The sequence below is a fragment of the Homo sapiens genome, chromosome 1 (genome assembly GCF_000001405.40).
Source record: "Homo sapiens chromosome 1, GRCh38.p14 Primary Assembly".
Lineage (NCBI taxonomy): Eukaryota > Metazoa > Chordata > Mammalia > Primates > Hominidae > Homo > Homo sapiens.
In genome coordinates, this window is record NC_000001.11 from 95,318,310 (window position 1) to 95,339,944 (window position 21,635).

Sequence of the window (21,635 nt, forward strand, 5' to 3'; positions counted from 1 at the left end):
CGATGTTCCAGATGAAGTACGTCTTCTTCCCTTTTGGAATCAAATGCCCCTCTAGGATTGAGTCTCTTTTACCCAAACCACTTTTGAATCTTGTCAACTTTGTCTGTAAGAAACATTTAGACTTATCTTACTCTTATCAGTACAGAGGTCTTACTTCTTTGGCAAGCATATATAAAACTGTAGGGGAGAGCAGCCCAATCCATCTGTTTTATGTGCCCTCCCTACTTCACCTGCTTCTCCCCTAACCCTTGACCACCCCAGCTTGAGGACTAGAAAGTGAGGGGAGTGGAGAGTGATTCACAAGGTGCAAGGTTAGTGGATCCCACAGGAGAACAGCATATAGTTTCATGAGCCTTGTGAGGAATTAGAAAGAAACAATTAGTCTGAAGAAACATTCATCATTTTTATAACTTGTATCCTGTTTTTCCAGGGTTAATCCAGGCACATCAGTTTTTCTATTCCCATTATGTTCCAAGTTTTTAAAACATGAGACCCTTTTTTTTCAAAGGAAATTTTCAATGATTGCTCTATTAAACAGACAAAAGTGGGGCTGTGGTTGTTGAAGGAGGTGGTGGAGCCTGGGTATCATTCCTCCTAGCGCCCCTTTCCCTCATCCTTTAATACCCCCGCCCCCCATCAAAGGTAGGGCTCTGGGGAAATGAGGGTGGAAACTTCTGTTCTACCCAACCCATTGATTCTGACATTCACTCTGGGAGGTGCAGCTTGTATAAAAAATGATGTAAAGGAACATTTTAAGAATGACCTATTTTGTCTTAATGGTGAATAACTCTAGATTTCCCTGGAAATGGTGTGACTTCTTTAGGATAGTAGAAAGAACACCAAAACACAAAGGTTCTCAGAAACATCCTTCTCGAGAATATTCCTTGTCTTTTTCACTCCCAAAATTACTCTCGTAATGTATTGCATATGCAATACTCTTCCCACCAAATAGGGAAAATGATTCCTTTCTCAGCTCCAATTTTTGCTCTATTTTCAATGGTGGGGGTGGGAGTGGACACCAAATCACACAAAATATCTATCTCACAACCATATACAAGTAAAAGCCAACGTATCACCATTTTTAGCTGAATTCTAACCTTTTTGGGGAACTGGGAATATAAAATTTTGAAGTCACCCATATATTTAAAACTCAGAAGAGAAAACAAAGAACTTTACAGAAAGAAATTCAATAATAAAAATATACTTTACACAGTTATAATCAGTTCAGTTGGTGAAACACAGTTGAGGAGAAAAGAAAGGAAGGAAGGGAGTGAAGGGAAGGGAAGGCAGAGGGAACCTGAGATGTGGAGTGGCGGGAGCTTGGGAGATAGAGTGGCTGGCTGTTCCCGCACCACCGCACCCTTGGTTGTGTCCCTCATTTGTGGGCGATCCTCGCCTGGTGCTCAGCAGCACTCCAGTCCTGCCCTCGTGTGACCTGTGGAGCTGCTAGCGGCAACCCTCGCCATCTCAACTCACCTGAGGCGTTCCTTGACACCTTGGCTTCTTGGGAGGAGCCTTGTCAAAAAATGTCTACATCTTCTCTAGAGTGCCTTCTCCAGATCTGTTCTTTGCATTCAAGGGAAGTCCTTGTGCTGTGGTGCTTTTGGTCTTTTTGAAAAATGTTTTTCATGAATCAAAGGGAAAAGTAAAAATGAGAAATATTTGGTTCTTTTCTGGGGCTTTAATTTTTTTCCAAAAATTTTTTGAGTACTTTTTTTTCCTTTCTTTCTTTTTTTTTTTTTTCCCTTAAGAGCTCAGCTCTTGATGGAGAAGTGATTTTTCTAGGACAGTTTCCTAAACTTTAGTCATCTACATACCTCTTTCATGATCTTTGTTCTATCTGCATACCATCTGGTTTTTTTTCTCAATATTTTCTTTCTATCAATTTAAAATGGAATAATTTAGCCTTATTCTTGGATAAATTCTTATTATTTGATAAAACTGGTGAAATCACAAGTGTGTTATATTTTTTAAAAAACAGATAAATACTGGGGTATGGGCAACTAAAATGATCTTGCCAGTGACAAATCTTCACCATTTGGGAAATATCATTCGAGGAAATGGCCTGCTACTGGCTTATGACTTTGAATACAAACCTAGGGGCTGATACAATTGTCCACTATGCATCAAAGAGGAAAGAAATGGGAAAGCTGAGGGACTAGGAAAGAAGCTATAGAACCCAGCATAATATTTATTAAGACCTTGGAATTCTTTTCAAGATAAATTACATTTATATGCACTTATTATATGTATGTATTAAATTTACATCCCAGTTAAGTGTGATGAAGTTATTCTAAGTCCATTGCCCAAAAGATGATTATCCACAAGGGCACGATGTGGTTTTGTCATTGGTTTCAGCAAGTCATTGTAAGGAGCATTTTCCTGAAGGTGGTGTGGTGGTCTTCTCATTGCTATGTATTTGTTCTTCCTAAAATAAGAAAGATTTCTGCGATTTAAAAAAATCACACTACTTAATAATACTCTCGATTAACTGAGTACCTTTGTAGTTTCTCAGGAAAAATATAAAATTGGGTTGTATTATTACTTTATGTTTTTCTCTTTGGCACGGAGTTTCCTTTTCAGATTCCAGGGTAAATAGAACAAAGGATCAGTTTTTATAATTTATTTTTTTTTTCAAGAGCATCTTCTGGTATCTCATTATTTGGAGATAGCTGTGAAAAGAAAGATCGGGAAAATAGAAAGGCACAGTTCATTGTGTAATTCACAGTCATAGTAATTTTTTTATTTATATGTCTTTTTGGATGCTTTTTTGCTGGGAAAGACAGAATGGAATAATTTTCTCTTTTTCCTCTCTTTTGCAAAACCCATTGATGCAACACAATGCATGTTACATAATAATCACAGATATCATGACTTTGGGGAAGCAGGGTTTCAAGTAAACATGCTGTACGCTGTACAAAGTATTTTATGAAAATTTCACTTTTTGTGTTTGAGGATAATAAAAGGATTCCTTTGCGTCTTAGAAAAGAAATCCTAAAAACAAATGAACAAATGGACTCGGTCCACGGACACCTAGCCAAGACTGTCTCTGAGAAGAATGACATGCCTTCAGCATGAAGTAGCTACAAGAAAAGGACATGTAATTAAGGAGGAAAAAAAAAATCAGAAACTGGAGCCATTAAAGAGACTGTGATATGAGGAAAACATTGTACAGGAGATGTGACCGAAGATCTCAGATCTGAGAACTGAAAGGGAATGAAACTAGTTAAAATTCCACTGCTCATTCGCTCCACGGGAGAAATAACATTCCTGTGCGATGCCACTTGCCACTTCATTTTTAGAAACAATTAAAAGATGCAAATATTTATGAATCACTGTGTATGTTGTAATCCTATTTTGAAAACAAACATTGCCTTGTACTTTAGGTTCTCAATGCTGGTTGCTGTTGGGATTCAGGGGTTAAAGCAAGCACTTCAAAATGAGCTCACTACTGCTACCCAGACAAAGGGATGCAACTCTGAGAGTGTGTTCTGTTTGCCTGCAAGCTGTTGCCTATGCCAAATGAGCATTTTAAAAACCATTCAAATTAAGTTGAAAATTTGTAATTATATTTTCCCTTTTAATTGTAACTTATGCAAATGTTATATTCCAGCTGTACAAATAATTTTCATTTCAGACTACAACATTCACATTAAATCTAGCATGTAACACCCTGATACAAGATTTTTCCCAAGCTGTAGTTGCAGATTTAGAGGGCTAGAGTTGGCTCTGTTAGTGATGGCTTCCATTGTTGTTACCCTGCAGTTAAGTATAGATTGCAAAGTGGCAATAGAGAAGGGAGACACCTTTGCCACAATTTGCTGGACACAATTTATGAATAGAACACATAGAAAGAGAATGAGAAAGCAAACACATACACAAAAAGATCAACAGCTAAGAAACTTGGATGTTTGGTAAAGTGAATATTGTGTCCTTGCTGTAATTGATGAATTCGGCTTGCAGTGCATTAGTTACAGGAAGGGAATACATGTGACTCATTTGTTAATTGTCAGCCACTTAGTGCAAACAGAAATTGAGTATTTTCCATTTTCAATGAAAATTTTACTTTGGGAATTTTATGTACAAAACCAATAAAATTTTTAACCAAGAGTGAAAGAAGCACAGATTGTTTTAAATACATGCACACACACAGTATTTAAGGGATCACACATATCTGAGAAATAAAACAAAAAAGAAAAACCCTATAGAAATGCAGCATATTGTTCTGATTCCTGAAGAGTTTTCTTTACATAAATTTGGGAAGATTTTCATATTCTTGGTAGGCAAACACAAGGAACCTTGATTTACTTCAATCTAGTTCACTGCTGATCAGCTTTTTGTATTTAACAGCGTTCTAGAAGCAATGGAAGAGACAAAAAAAGAAAATTTAAGACACACCCTCAAGTAATTCACAAGCTTGTTGATAAACAAGGCAAACTTATGGAATAAGATGGACTGTAATAAAATGACATGTGTGTGTTTATACACCTAACAGAGAGTTCAACAATTCATTACTCAGTTGGGCAAACTGAGACTTAGTGTGGCTTAGTGATTTGTTTAAGGTCACACATCTAATAGTGATAACAACATTTTGGAAACCTAGGAGGTCTAGTTTCTGTCCTTTGTTTTTTCCATCATTAAGGCATTTGTCAGTTGAAAGCTGCACAACTAGAAATTACATTTGCCAAACATGGTTTCTTCCTATATTTGCCTGTGGAATGACTTTTGACTTAGAAATCATGTAGGTTTTTAACACTTGCCCAGGCCCTAGATAGAGATTGGAAGGGTTTGTTGATCTCTAATTAGCTCTGATTAGTCAAAATTGATCTTTAAACTATAGAAAATCCAAAACAAAGATCCCATAGCCCTAAAAAGTGTGCTATAAATCTGTATGCTTCAGGTTAAAGAGCAAATGATTAAATCCAGATTGATTCTTGTAGCAAAAGGGCAGTGCAAGAAAATGCTGGAAAATAATGGCTGGGGACAAAAGGCTCTGGTGGTGTATGAGTCATCAGCCTGGGACTGCTCATGGCCCGGTCTTTGTTCATTACTGCTGTTAGCACACATTCTGTTATACAAGTAACTATGACAATGCCATATTCCCTTTACTTGTGAAAAAATTTTGGGACCCACATATGGCAAGAAAAGATTGATGATCTAGGGTTGGTGTATTGCTCTCTGTGCAATAATTTCCTAGAGATGAATATGGGAATGCACATTTCTCTGTACACTGATTGATTTATTCACTAGTTCATGTATTTATTGACTCATTAATCATGGATTTTTGGGGTCACTTACTATGTACCAGGCAATATTATGTTTAACACTGGGAACACACATAGACAAAAGCAAAATTAAATCACGTATTTAATGAATGTTTATTGTCTACATGTAACTTATGGTTTAATGGAACCAGAAATTCTTGACTTCTGGTCTCAGCCCTCATCCAAAGAGTGTGCTGCCCATAAGTCCAAAGCCAGATTAGTTGTCCTATATGTCGTGGCATCTCTCATTTAGCCAAACTGAGTGTACACTCATAGATGCAGACTCTCCTGCATATCTTACCAGGAGGGCAACCCTGTATCACTGAAGAGATATGTTATCTTCCACAGTAAAATTGTGGTTAAAAGCATGGAAGTCAGAGTTAGACATGCAGGAGTCATATCCTGGCTCCGCTGCTCACTAGATGAGCATCCTTATTACAATTGCAGTTTTCTCGTTAGTAAATTGAGTGCAACCTGTAAAGACTGCAGTGAGGATTAAATTTAAATAAATAAATGCTGACACCTAGTAAGCCCTGACAAATGGTGGCTATTAATAACATTGTGCTAAAATTTGTTCCTCTTTTAATACCCACTTTCATTGGCAAGTGATGTCTCTTGCTTGCCCTGTATTAGCCCCACTGTGTCCATGGCATTATTTTACTGTGTGAGTACAAACTTAGACACCTGGAATTTGCACTCATCCTCTGGTTCCCTTCATTTACTTTGAAATGCTGCTGATAGTTTGATTTTCTAATTGTGGTAGTGAGAGGCTACTGAGCTCATTTATGGCTATTTTCTGGAGGGCATTCTGTGGAGCAGCCAGGAAGAAAGACAACCCGGGCTGGCTTTCTGCAACCGCAGCAGAGCGATTTCTGGGATGTAAATTGCATCAGAGTTCTTCCATCTTTTCTCCTGGTCCCCTCTACAACCTTCAGTTTCTGCTTTCTTTTCTCCCTCTCTTTCTCTTCTCTCCATCTACTCTTTAGATATTTACAAATACACATTAACTTCACAGTTCCTGACTAGGACATTATCTTTATTAACACTTGCAATTTGTGTGGATTATAGATCTTTTCATGACCTCTTTAGTGCCCTAGGATATGCCACTGCCATTTATTTGTATAATCTCCTACTTTGATGAAATGCAGATAAGTTGAAAAATCTGCCAAAAATTGTTGTCCGCAGGATATTGGGAAACAAGCACTTCCACAGTTAATTGTGTGTGCATTTTTAATCATAGTCTAATAAATTGGCTTTTTATTTCTTTAAGTTACTCTGGGAGAAGTCTCAGAATATTAACATTTTTGCTTCACATGGGGACATCTGCTCATCCTCAGAGTACATGCAGAAATCAACAAAATTGTGTGGGCATGGGGATGTTTTATTTATATTTCAGAAGTAGGAGAAATTCTTTCCTTCAAGCTTTAGAACCATACTAAGCTTATAGGGTAAGAAAAATTCACACACTATATTATAGTACCCCAGTGGGCTAGGATCCACAACATAACATTTTCCCTATCTTGCTGTCTTTTTTTCCTTTGGGAGAGAGGTCTCTATCCCGAGCTTCTCAGACTATAGGGCACATAAGAATCGTTGGGGTGTCTATTAAAAGGCGGATTCCCAGGTTCCACCATCCAGGGATTCTAATTCATGGGATAAGTTGGGACCTGGCATCCTGCATTTCACATTAAACCACTGCACAGAGTCTACTTGATTCTCTCCTTTGATTTCTACTCTTGCTTCTGCCCATTTTCCCAAGCTCAGCTAAGGAAAGCTGGTGCAAGAGGAGGTGCCTGACAAAACAGATGTCGCTGTGTCAGAGCTGTTTATTCTGAGCTCACAGTGCTGCCTAATACACAGTGCCATCGGGTTGTTGCTTAGGGAGACACCTATGATGCCATTAATTATTTAGGGATCCAAAGTAGCTGCCATTAATGAATTTGAATGTATTACAGTGATCCTAATCAGAGTAACAGATGCAAAATGACAATATGATACACACAATTTTCCCCCAGCGAGTTACACACTATTAAGGTCTGTTGCAGTCAATGAATCCAGATGCTTCCCTACTCTTACTGACCATGAAAGATCCTGGTTTCATTACATGAAAGAAAATAAGTTCATCCCATTATCTTGCAGAGTTAAAGCGAGATCCAATTCAGCAGCTGGTAAGGCATCATAAGTTGGTTTGCAATAATCCTGCCCCCGTTTCAGGATTGACTGAGTGGAAGAATTCTATTGCATCTGGGCTTATCATTCCCTTTACATTATTTTTATGCTTTCCCAGATGAGATGCTTTACTCTTGCTAAGAAAGCCTCCAATGGACAAAGCAAGTTTTATATACACATAATGTGAGAAAAAAGCAAACTATTTTTACAGAGGGTAAATTCATTAAAATCAGAGTAACAAAACTAAAGTCAACCATGATAAAATGGGAAACAGAAAGCTTCTCAAGAGTATATTGCTAAAAATGTTGTCAGATTTCTGATATAAACCAGGCCATGCATAGCAGCATTTCCCCCTTCCTGTCCTAGAAATTATGCAAAAGAAAAACCAAAAAACAAACTGAAAACGAAAAGCTCAAAGGCAAATATAAACCATAGACTGTGCAACATCTGTAAAGGCTGCCAGGAGACACTGAAATTGTGCGGTGGCCGCCAAGGAGGAAAAAGAAGGAGGCAACACCAAGAGAGCCCAGGGGTGGCAATTGGAGGAAGTGCCAGCAAAAATACTCATCCTGAAGGGGCAGGACTCACCTGAAGTGCTAAGGTTAACATAGTTGTTCTGGAATTGAGGTTTGCAGGGTCGGTGCAAAAGTGTTCCTATCCTGGTTTGGCTCTGAGAAATACAGGAGAGGGCTGAGCAAAGAAACCAAAGATGAGCTGTATTTGAAGGAAGCAGTTTATTTCTGGGGCAACAGGAAGGGGAATGAAGCCTGAAAGGCCACCTGGCCCCTCCCCAGTAAAAACTTCTTGAAAATAGTTTGTTTGGGAAAATGTAACTCATTTAGTGGTGAAAAGCTTTTAAAAAAGGGCATTGATAAAAAGATCCTATGTGAAAAATGGTGGAAAAGAGCGGCGAAATCACCAGCAGATGGAGGACATTCATAAATGGATGAAAATTGTGTCCTAACTATTTGCCATGAATTAAAATAAAAACATATGCAATGAGGCAATTACCTTGAGCAATTCCTTTTTAAAAAGTGTATTCATTTATTAATCATCCACTCTGTGCTGTGCTTTATAAGACTTTAGAGACATCATTATTTATTTATTTATTTTTAATTTTTTATTTCCATAGGTTTTTGGGGAACAGGTGGTATTTGGTTGCATTAGTATGTTCTTTAGTGGTGACTTGTGAGATTTTGGTGTACCCATCACCCGTGCAGTATACCCTGAACCCAATTTGTAGTCTTTTATCCCTCAACCCTCTCCTATGCTTTCCCCCAAGTCCCCAAAGTCCATTGTATCATTCTTTTGCCTTTGCATCCTCATAGCTTAGCTCCCATTTATGAGTGAGAACATATGATGCTTGGTTTTCCATTCCTCAGTTACTTTACTTAGAATACTGGTCTCCAGTTCCATCCAGGTTACTGTGAATGTCATTAATTCATTTCTTTTTATGGCTAAGTAGTATTCCATCATATATATATATATATATATATATATGGCATTTGGGCTGGTTCCATATTTTTGCAATTGCAAACTGTGCTGCTATAAACATACATGTGCAAGTATCTTTTTTGTAGAATGACTTATTTTCCTCTGGGTAGATACCCAGTAGTGGGATTGCTGGATCAAATGGCAGATCTACTGTTTAGTTCTTTAAGAAATCTCCACACTGTTTTCCATAGTGCTTGTGCTGCTTTACATTCCCACCAGCAGTGTAGAAATGTTCCCTTTTCACTGCATCCATGCCAACATCTATTATAAAAAATGCTGAGCATCACTAATGATGGAGGAAATGCAAATCAAAACCACAATGCAATACCATCTTACTCCTGCAAGAATGGTCATAATTGAGCAATTACTTTTGAAGGAAGACCCCAAAGCAGAAACACAAGAACACAGAGGAGAAGTGAGTAGTCGATGAAAAATATGAAACGTGCTGAAATTCAGGAAATATGTAATTCCAGAATGATGACACAACTGAAAGAAGCATGAAGAAGAGAGATGTGATAAAAACACAGTGATGGAAATAATGAACATAAGAGAAAAGAAAAGGAGATCCCAGATACATGCAATTGAAGTTGTAGATGAGAAACACAATCAATGAAACAAAACCCAAATGTTTAAAGATATGATTCAGGAAAAACTTCTGATAATAAAGTATGTGACTCTACACACTGCAAAGGCACTGTGTGTCCCAGGGAAAAGTGACCCAGATCATCATCAACAAGGAATACCCTAGCGAAATTATTGAACTCTAAGAAATGAAGGAAGAATTCTTTGGGCAGTAAAAGGATGAAGTAACTTGGAAAGGGAAAACAATCAGCTGAATTCATCTTCATATCCATGGCCATATTCAACACTAGAGGGTGGAAAAGTGGTACCTTTCAAATTCTCAGAGAAAGAAAGTGTGAGTCAAGGATGTTATATCCACCCATGTGCACAGAAGATTTCAGGGAACTCTGTTGCTAGGGTCCTTTTGTGAATAAGCAACTCAAGGGAGAAGTTCTGCCATCAAGTGTAACTGTGGCAAAAGAACTGGCAGTGAGCTTTTTATTTTTCTTTCTGGAACTGGAATTTTTATCAGGAGAAAAATGAAAATATACAAAAGTAGAGAAAACAGTATAATAAAATCTCAAGTACCCATTATACAGCTTCAACAGTTTGCATGGCCAATCTTGATTCATCTATATCTCGTCATTCTCTCCCCATCCTCCAGTGGATAATAATCCCTCATTTTATTTCTTCCATAACCATTTTAGTATGTATCTCTATTACAGAAAAATATTTTTTAAAACACAATGCCAATACCATTATCACACCTAAAAATAAATGATAGCAATTCTTTAATACCATAAAATAGCCAGTTAGTGGTTGTATTTCTGTGATTGCCTCACAATTAAAAAAATTTTTAAAATAATTTTTAAAAATAATAAAAAAATAGTTAATTTGTTTAAATAGATCTACAAATAAAGGCCATACATTGGAACTGATTACGTCTTTGAGTCTCTTTTAGTGTATATGTTTTTTTCTCTCTCTTTTTAAATTTTATTTTTAATTGTGGTAAAATATACATGTTTTAGTCTATTTTGTTTTGCTATAGCAGAATACCTCAGACTGGGTAATTGATAATGAACAGAAATTTATTTGGTTCACTGTCTGGAAGCTGGGCAGTCCGAGACTGAGGGGCTGCACCTGATCAGGGCCTTCTTGCTGCATCTTCACATGGCAGAAGGTATCACGTAGAGAGAGAACACTTGTGAGTTCCTCTCCCTAAGATGAAGCCAAACTCACTTTCATAACACACTCCTGTGATCATGAACCCACTCCGGTGATAAGAACAATGATTTATTCATGAGGGTGGAGCCATCATGACCTACTCACCTCTTAAAGATCCCACTTCTCAATGCTGTTGCACTGGGAATTAAGTTCCCAACATATGAACTTTGTGGGACACAGTCAAACCATAGCAACATATAACAAAAAATTTATGATCTTAATCATCTTTAAGTGTACAGGTCAGTAGTGTTAAGTATGTTTATGTAGTTGTGCAACCAATCTCTTGGGCTCTTCATCTTTCAAAATTAAAACTCGATTATATTAAACAATAATTCCTCATCCCCCTTTCTCTATCCCCTGGAAACAACCATTCTACTTTCAGCTGCTATACATTTAACTACTCTAGGTACATCATATAAGTAGAATCATTTTGTGACTTGGTTATTTTACTTAGCACAATGTTCTCAAGATTTATCCATGTTGTAGCATGTGTCAGAATGTCTTTCCTTTTTAAGGCTGAATGATATTCGATTGTATGTATATGCCACAATTTTGCTTATCCATTTATCCACTGATGGACACTTGGGTTCCTTCTACCTTTCAACTGCTGTGAGTAATGCTGCTATAAACATGGATGTACAAATATCTCTTCAAGACTCAAGCATATACCCAGAAGTGGAATTGCTGGATCATATGGTAGTTCTATTTTTAATTTTTTTAGGAATCACTATACTGTTTTTTTTTCCACAGCAATTGCAAAACTTTGCATTTCCACCAACAAATGCAGAAGGATTCCAATTTCTCTACATTCTTGCTATGCTAGCCCTTGTTATTTTTTGTTTTTTATTTTGTTTTTTTTTTTTTTTGATAGTAGCCATCTTAATGGGTGCCAGGGGGTATCTCATTGCGGTTTTGATTTGCATTTCCCTAATGATTAGTGATGCTGAATATCTTTTCATGTGTGTATTGGCTATATATCTTTTTAGAAGAAATGTCTATTCAAATCCTTTGCCAATTTTAAATTTGGGTTTCTTTTTTTCTGCTGTTGTTGAGTTGTAGGAGTTCTTTATATATTCTGGATATTAGCCTCTTATCAGATATATGATTTGCAAATATTTTCTCCTATTCTGTGGGCTATCTTTTCACTCTGTTGATTGTTCTCTTTCATGCACAGAAATTTTTAATTTTAATGTAGTCCAATTTATCTATTTTGTCTTTTGTTGTTTGTGCTTTTGATGTCACGTACAAAAAATCATTGCCAAGCCAACGTCATGATACTTTCCCCGCGTGTTTTTCACTAAGAGTTTTATGGTTTCAGCTCTTGCACTCAGGTCTTTGATCTGTTTTAAGTTATTTTTTTCCATGTGATATAAGATACGAATCCAACTGTATTCTTTTATGACCATGAAGCTAACTGTATTTGAAAGTACAGCCAAGACGAAGACAACTGTGGAAGTTAAGGTAACAGAACAGAATACAAATCTTATATAAATGACAAGGAATGACATTCCTACATGAACAACTAACTACAATGAAAAAAAGAAAAAGACAAAGAAGTTGGGAGGTAGATTAAGTTTGCCGAGTCCTCACTGGCAAAGCTGACAATCAAACTATTTTATTGATAAGTGAAGTAATAAAAGTGAAATGCTTATTTCAAAGGACAAAGATAATATGTCATTGAGTGGTACAGGGGAAAGAGAGAGATGATGAGGAGAGAGAGGAGAGAGAGAATAAGAAACCAATAGATGTTATCATCTAAAAATTTTAAAAACCTGAGGATTTTTTAAAAAGTTAAAACTATAAATGCAACCAATAGAATAAAAATACAAACTTCCTCAAAGAGCAGAATGACTGTACACACAAAAAGACACACCATCCCTCCCTCTCTTTTTTTCCTTCTCAAAGTTGACCAAACTAAACTTAAGAAAAAATATAAAATAATGCAAGTGAACTGAAACAAAATATATCCATCACATTAAAAATTATGAATGAGCCCGACTCAACTATTACATGAGAAAGACCTTCAGATTAGATTCTAAACAAACACCTAACAGCCATATTCCAAAGAAAGACTTAAAACAAAAAGATTTAGAAAAGTTGTAAAAGGCAAACGAGGCAAATTCAAACAAAAGAAATTAAGGATTGCAATCTAAATATCAGACAAAGTAGAATTCAGGTAAAAAATCATTAAATGAGACAAATAAAGCATTTTATTACATGGGTTCTGATTTTCAATTGCTTCAAAACTAACTGTTGTAAACTTAGTGGCAAATAACAACCATATTTTATCAAATTATCAGATTTTGTGGGAATTCAGGCAGGGTATAGCAGAGATGACTTGTCTCTGCTGCACAATATCTGAGACCTCTTTTGGGAAGATACAAATAGATGAGGACTAGAAACATCTTGTAGATGCTTCACTCACATGGCTGGTGCACAGGCTAGGAAGACTGAAGCCTTGGTTCGTCTGGGACTGTCAACCAGAGCCCCTGAGCGTGATTTCTTCATGTGGCTTGGGCTTCCTCACAGCATGTTGGCTTCAGGATTGTCAGACCTTTTTTTTTTTTTTTTTTTTTTTTTTTTTTTTTTTATGTTTTGAGACAGAGTCTCACGCTGTCACCCAGGTTGGAGTGCAGTGGCGCGGATCTTGGCTCACTGCAACCTCTGCCTCCTGGGCTCAAGCGGTTCTTCTGCTTCAGCCACCTAAGTAGCTAGGATTACAGGTATGTGCCATCATGGCCAGCTTCTGTATTTTTAGTAGAGATTGGGTTTTGCCATGTTGGCAAGCTGGTCTTGAACTCCTGGCCTCAAGTGATCCACCCACCTTGCCCTCCCAAAGTGCTGGGATTACAGGCGTGAGCCGCTGTGCCCAGCCAGACTCCTTACATTGGCAATCCAACAGCAAATGTCCACAGGGAACAAGGAGGAAGCTTCATGGCCTTTTATAATTGTTGGATATGGTTTGGCTGTGTCCCCACCCAAAATCTCATCTTGAATTTTAATCCCCATAACCCCCACTTATCAAGGGCAGGGACAGGTGGAGGTAATCAGATCATGAGGGCAGTTTCCCCCATGCTGTTCTCTTGATAGTCAGTGAGTCTCATGAGATCTGATTTTTTCTTTTTTTTTTTTTTTGAGATGAAGTCTCTCTCTGTCACCCAGGCTGGAGTGCAGTGGCACCATCTTGGCTCACTGCAATCTCCACCTCCTGGGTTCAAGCAATTCTCCTGCCTCAGCCTCCCGAGTAGCTGGGATTATGGGCACCCGCAACCACACCTGGCTAATTTTTGTAGAGATGGGGTTTCACCATTTTGGCCAGGATGGTCTTGATCTCCTGACTTCATGATCTGCCCACGTCAGCCTCCCAAAGCGCTGGGATTGCAGGCATAAGCCACCGTGCCCTGCCAAGATCTGATGGTTTTATAAGCATCTGGCATTTCCCCAGCTGGCACTCATTCTCTCTCCTGATGCCCTGTGAAGTAGTGCCTTCCACCATGATTATAAGTTTCCTGAGGCCTCCCCAGCCATGTGAAACTGTGAGTCAATTAAACCTCTTGCCTTCATAAGTTACCCAGTCTTGGGCAGTTTTTTCTATCAGCGTGAAAACAGACAAATACACAGTCTTAGTTGATTTGTGTGGCTATAACAAAATGCCATAAATGGAGTAGTTTATAAAAGAAAGAAACTTATTACTTATAGTTCTAGAGACTGGGACGTCCAAGATCAAGGCACTGGAAGATTGAATATTTGGCTGAGAAAATATTTAATCAAAATGCTGAAGGAATAGCCTGGTTCTTCTTGACTGTTTCTAGTAAAATTTTAGATGAGAGAAATGATTTAAAGATGGAATTGTCAATCACTGGGCAGAACACTCTGTACAGAACACTGTGTACGGGTTATCAATTCCAGGGGAGAAGAACACTGTGCATGTTAGAACACTGTGCATTCTAGAGGAGGACTGTAAACACTTCTGCCCCTTGCATCTTGCTATAGGAATTGCTAAGGAAAGCACAGTGCAGTCAAGCACTGGATGTAGCAATGCTTTACTTACATAGACAAGATATAGAGCAAGGTCAGCTTCAATAGTGTGCATTGATACCCCAGGGTCAGTGAGTCTCTTCTGGCAGCCAGTGCAGGGCCATTTGCCTAAACACACCCTCTTATGCCACAGAGGACAGACCTCTCCTCTGTGGAGCCTGAAATAGTGAAAGCTGAGGATAGGCCTGCATACCATGGACACACATGCTGAAACAGAACAAAAGAATACTTACTGAGTATGAAACAGGAAAGTATGTTTCCACACAATGTGATGAGCCTGACAAGGGCTGTGTGAGCACTTTACCTCTTGGTTAGGAAGTGTTTCAGTTTCCATACCCATTCTTGTGTGGCCAAGTGGGGGTCAAAAGACTACACATAAGACTGCCATCCTAACATTAATCAAAAGGGAAGCAAAAAGCTAAAGATTTGAAGTATTCTCAGCCTATCATATTGTAAAGAATAAGATAGAATGGTGAGCGAGAACACCAAAGGTGTGACCAAACAATCATCTGATAAGGAGATTAGTCTCACAAGTTCTACCTTCAGAAAACACTAGGACATGAACACAATTCAGTCAAGTTCTTTACCACTTTATAACAAGGGTGACCTTTCCTTCATTGTCCAAAAACATGTTCCTCATTTCCAGCTGAGACCTTATCAGAAGGATCTTACCGTTTATGTTTCCAACAACATTCTGTTCAGGGTTACTTAAGTGTTCCCTAAGAAGACTGAGGCTTTCTCTACAGCTCTCCTCGTTGCTTTCTGGGCCCTCATAGAATTGCCACTAATAGTCTGTTCATGGCAATGAGGCGTTTTCTTGCATGCACCTCAAAATGTTTCCAGCCTCTACCCTTTACCCAGTTTCAAAGCCACTTCTTTTTTTTTTTTTTTTTTTTTTTTTGATACAGTCTTACTCTGTTGCCCAGGCTGGAGTGCAGTGGCATGATCTTGGCTCACTGCAACCTCCGCCTCCTGGGTTCAAGTGATTCTCCTGCCTCAGCCTCCTGAGTAGCTGGGACTACTGGCATGCGCCACCACACCAGGCTAATTTTTGTATTTTCAGTAGAGACGGGGTTTCACAGTGTTGGCCAGGATGGTCTCGATCTCTTGACCTCGTGATACACCCTCCATGGCCTCCGAAGCCACTTCTATATTTTAGTTATTTGTTGCAGCGCCCCATATCCATTTTCTCAATGCCAAATTTCAGTCTTAGTATGTTCAGGTTACTATAACAAAATACGTAAACTGGCTGGCCATAAACAACAGAAATTGACTTCTCACAGTTCTGAAGGCTGGGAAGTCCCAGATCAAGGTGCTGGCAGATTTGATGTTGGATGAGGGCCTACTTTCTGTTTCTGAGATGGCACTTTCCTACTGTGTTCTCATATGGTGGAAGGGGCTAGCTAGCTTTCTAGGGCCTCTTTTAAAAGGTTACTAGTTCCATTCCTGAGGGCTCTGTCCTCATGACCTAATTATCTTCCAGAGGCCCCATCTCCTAATATCATCACTTTGGGGGCTAGGATTTTAACATATAAATTTAAAGGGGACAAAAACATTCAGACCAGACCTAGCCTCAGAATCACATAGCATCACTGTACATGTGCTCTATTGGTTGAAGTAGTCACAGGCTGGCAGAGATTCAGGAGAGGTGGCAAAGATCTTACTTCTCTAGGGGACAAATAATTTGTCAAATAATTTGTGACCATGTTTTAGATCTGCCACAATGCTAAGGGATCTAAATTATAGTCTAAAAAAGCAGTCATTAGTATCTATGTATTTAATAAAATAGGAATAGATGAATTTTCCTTAATATGATAGGGCTCAGTAGAAAAGCCAGAATCAAGCTTAATGGCACACAATAGAGACATTCCTTTTAAAGGGAAAAAAAATGTTAAGGATGTCCATTATCACTTATATTATTTTACATTATTTAAGTATGAGCCAAAGCAGATACATGAAAAGGAGAGAATAAAATTAATATGATTTGTAGATAATGTGAGGTTTTACCTGGAATTCCCAAGGGAATTAGTTGAAAAAACACTACAATGAAAAAATTTGGTAATTAATGAGAAGAAATTAATACAAATAAATTAATAGCTTATAGATAGAATAAGAGAAGATATGCTATTTACAGTAGCAACCCAAAATACTGAAATGCCTAAGAGTACATGCTAGAAGAAATGTAAGAGACCTGTTAAAAATTAGCAAAATAAACTTTAAAACACTTCCATGAAATGCCAATAAGTATATTGAAAAACCTTGAGCAGATAGATAGAAATAATAATAAAGATGTCAATTTTTTTCTAAGTTAATTGCAAAAAAATAAGAATTTGTTTTTTGAAACTAGACAATTCAATTATAAAGTTCAGGCCTGGTGCAGTGGCTCACGCCTGTAATCCCTGCACTTTGGGAGGCCAAAGTGGGCAGATCCCTTTGAGCCTAGGAGTTTGAGACCAGCCTGGGCAACATGGCAAAACCCCGTCTCTACAAAAAATACAGAAATTAGCCAGATGTTAATGGCTCGCACCTAAAGTCCCAGCTACTTGGAAGGCTGAGGCTGGAGAATTGCTTGAACCTGGAAAGCAGAGGCTGCAGTGAGCCGAGATTATGCCATTGCACTCCAACCTGGGTGACAGAGTGAGACCTTGACTCAAAAAAAAAAAAAAAAGTTCACATGAAAAATAAAGACTAACAAAACTCAGAACAAGAATAATATTGATAATGATGGTAAGGAAATGAGAAAAGCATTACCATATATCAAAACATATTTTAAAACTCAAGTAGATAAAACAGTGTTGTAGGTAAATGAATGGAGACAGATCAATTAAACAAAATTTAAAAATCTAGAAACAATCAGGTATACACAGAAATAGCTCTAAATACATATGGGCTTTTAGTACGTGGTACAAGTGGAGTATTCAAAAATTAGTTTTGGAATTAGTTTTGGACCACCTGTGTAGATATTTGAAAAACATAGTTAGATTTTCTTCTCAACAATTATTTGGAGTACATTCCAAAGGGTTCAATGAATTAAGCTAAAAAAGGAAGTTATGAAAGTACTAGAAGAAAACATGGGGTGGTAGTCTCAGATTTCTCATCTAGTAACACCTGCTTCATAAGTTTGTGTTAAGAATTAGCAGACGTTTTGATACATAATAAGAATAAATGCTAACTGCTATTATTATCATTAATAGTATAAACTGATACTATTATTATCATTAATAGTACACAACTCTACTCTTAATAAAAGAGTAGAACTTTTTGAGGGGGGATAGGAGGAGGTTTGGAATCTTTTCCAAAATTTCACTTATAGATCTTTCTTGTTAATGTGAACTGGTTTCTTTTTGAAGTTATTATATGCAATAATTTTAAGTGAAGTAATGGAAACATTTAAAGGGCTATGGCAGAAAAAAATGAAATGATAAAAGTATGATTTTACCCATCCTTAGCTGCTGTCATACCAATAAGTTATGTTGTAGCTGGGGAGAATATCTAGATGAGAGGAAATGAATCTTTTTTCATTAGTATTTTCTTTCTCTCTGCCATTTTCATTCTCATCCCCTTTCTCTTTCTTTCCCTTTCATGAAACATATGCCACTTGTATTCCTTGCCTTTGAAGACATCTTTTTTAGAGCTTGTTGCCTCATAGAGCTGTTGTTCTTTCCTAACACACTACCAAACTTTTGGCGGAGTATGCTACCTTTGCTGCCATGGGACCATCCACTTATTCCTTGCTGCCTGTATCCCAGCACCCCATCCTCCAATTGTAAATGTTGACTTCAAGGATATAACCACCCAATGACCGAATCAAAAGCTTTAGAGCTGCTCTTTCTTCAGGACTGCACCTGCATTTAGCTCTGCCGATTACCCTTCTTGTAACACACACCTCACTGTCCTGCTTCTCCCACCTTTCTGTCTGTTCCTTTCCTGCCCTGCTCTGGCTCTGCTTTCTTCTTATTCCTCCCTCATCAGTACATCACACTTCCAAGTTTACTCCTCATCTTTCTGTTTTTTTTTTTCTTCATTATCTTCCTTGGAGATTCTATTCAGACTTGTGATTTCAACTCCTACAGCACTATAAAAGATTTTCTACAGGGAATCAGCTTCTCTCTTTAAAATAAAACTATAAACCCTCTAAGTTAGCGGCAGAGAGAACTTTGAAAGGTGACTATTCTCATGAGACAGGGCAGTCATATAAGTATCCTTGACTCTTCTTGCCCCTCTTTTCCTGTTTTTTCTTCTCAAGAGTTCTCTAAATATTTTCTTCCTCTTCAATCACTATACCTGGATTTTTTCCAATATAGGAGGCATTTTCAAGAACAGATATTTGCCAAATCTCAAGAAGATACTAAGAAAAAGATTATAGAAACTATTTATGGCACAATAACAGCCAATTTTCATAAGACATATCTCCAAGTTTGTTAATTATATAAAAGCAGTACAGCCTTATTTAGGATAGTTGGCATTGGTTGAGATGATGTGGGCTGGTACCAAGGTAGTGACAGTGGAAATGAAGAAGTAAGGATGGATTCATGAGCTGTTTACTGGGTGGACAGAGCTGTGATTGATGAGGTCTGCCGGTGAAGGCCAAGGAGGAGTTAAAGATGAATCCAAAGTGATTCACCTGGGCAGTTGAGTGAATAGAGATGATATTAATCAAAGTTATATCCAAATGACTACAGGGAACTCATTTTTGTAGGGAGGATAAATAGTTTGGTTTATGATATTTTGTATTTAAACTACTAGTAGAACATTTGGAAATATGAGTATAGGTACCATATTCTTAAAACATGTGTTGGCATTTTCTTCCCTGGGAATAGAATAAGATCTAATTCATCTTCATGGCCTCAACTATTGCCTACATGATAGTGATTCCTATGATAGTCATTAGTGTTTAATATGGTTTGCTGTGCCCCCACCCAAATCTCATCCTGAATTGTAGCTCCCATAATTCTCACATGTTGTGGGAGGGACCTGGTGGGAGATAATTGAATCATGGGGGTGGTTTCCCCTATACTGTTCTCGTGGTAGTGAATAAGTCTCACAAGATCTGATGGCTTTATAAGGGGAAACCCCTATTGCTTGGTTCTCATTCCTTCTCTTGCCTGTCACCATGTAAGACGTGCATTTCACTTTCTGCCATGATGGAGGTGCCTCCCCAGCTATGTGGAACTGTGAGTCCATTAAACCTCTTGTTTTAAAACAAATTACCCAGTCTCAGGTATGTCTTTATCAACAATGTGAAAATGGACTAATACAGTGCTGTTTGACCAATACTTCCATGTTTCTGCTTTCCAGACACATGGAACAGTGGTACTTGCTATACTTTTGAAATTAGATGTGACCACATTGCTTGCTTTGCTTAATAAAATATAAGTGAAATGTGTCATATCAATGTGGAAGCTTTAAGAGACTATGTATTACTCTCTGTGTGTCTTCCTCAGTACCATATTGATTGTAAAAGTGCTTTTCAAGGCAGAGCCTCCATCAGCCAGGTGTCCTGAGTGAGTGTGAGTTAGAACACTGGGCATGTAGTGATTTTGAGAAATAAATCTGATTTTAACTTAGGTGCTTGCTGTGTTTCTTTTGCTGGGCAGAAGCCATTTAGTTTAATTAAGTCCCATCTATTGATCTTTGTTTGTGGTGCATTTGCTTTTGGGTTCTTGGTCATGAAATCTTGTAAATTTTGACAAATGTTTAACTTTTTATAATAGATTTGTGTATATTTTATGGTAGTATTTGATAAAATAGGCTAGTATCTACATATATTTTATTTGCTTGTTACATGCTTAACTTTTTCTTAATTTAAAAAATATTTCTTGGCTACATAGTTCATCTGTAAGTTTTTCCAAACTGGAGAAATCTCCCCCAAAATTTCCAATATATTTATTGAAAAAAGTCTGTGTATAAGTGGACCCACATGGATCAAACCCATATTTTTCAAGGGTCAAGTGAACTTAGTATTATTATATGTGAAACACAGTATTTAATCTGTTTTATCTTACTTTTTCACTCACAAATTCTTATATTGTAAGCCACTCAATAGATGTTTTATTATTAAGTAATGGGTCTTTATCTACAGTTTGCAAAACACTGACTAAGGGTATGAGCTTTGGGTTTGGAATGCCTAAGTTCAGTCTGGTTCTGCCACTTACTACTGCCATGGCACATTCAGCAAGATGTATAACCACTGAGCCTCAGTTACTTCTTTTATAACATGGGATACTAATTTCTGCCTAATGATCTATTTTGTGATTAAATTAAATGAGACAATAACATAAACGGCTAGGCATGTTTCTTGCAACGTTTTAAGTGGTCATAAATCAAAAGGATTCAAACTTTCTTTTTGGTTGGGAAGATAAGTCCTGACATGACCGAAAGATCAGATGATCCAACTTCTCAGAAGCTGTAGTGTGACGGATACATCACTCGCTAACATATCAAACCTCCCTGGCCGACCTTCGTTGCTGTGGGCTCTGTGACTTCCCACACTCATGCTCGCTGAACACATTCTGCGTCCGCAAGCTCACCTTGTGGCTGTACTCCCTGGGGGGTATGAGCCTTGGGCACTCATACTTCCTCAGTCACGAGAATGCCATGAGTGAGGGGAACCAGAATTTGCTGTGCATTTGGGACAGTCTGCTCTTATTATCATATTATATTGTTTTCTCAGCCTTTTTCTTGATGATCTGAGTGACTTTGCTGTGGCAGACCTCCTTGCCAAAGTCCCAAGTTGAAATTATGAACCCTCACACTCATCAACGACGTTGTGTGCCCTCTTTCTGACGGCCTGTTGTCTTGTCTCTCCAAATGATTACAAGCTTGTAAAGGTTGCATTTACTCCATACGTGTAACAGTGCTCAAAAAAGGTTTATTTGTGGGGTC

At 37.9% G+C, this 21,635-nt stretch overlaps 1 long non-coding RNA gene across 1 annotated transcript; it reads left to right on the forward strand.

Moving 5' to 3' along the window:
* Positions 1–37: 37 nt before the first annotated feature.
* Positions 38–3,332, forward strand: LOC105379825 (uncharacterized). The gene is made up of 2 exons (XR_001737799.2): positions 38–105; positions 2,985–3,332. It is a non-coding gene; the product is annotated as an uncharacterized LOC105379825 (long non-coding RNA).
* Positions 3,333–21,635: the final 18,303 nt, after the last annotated feature.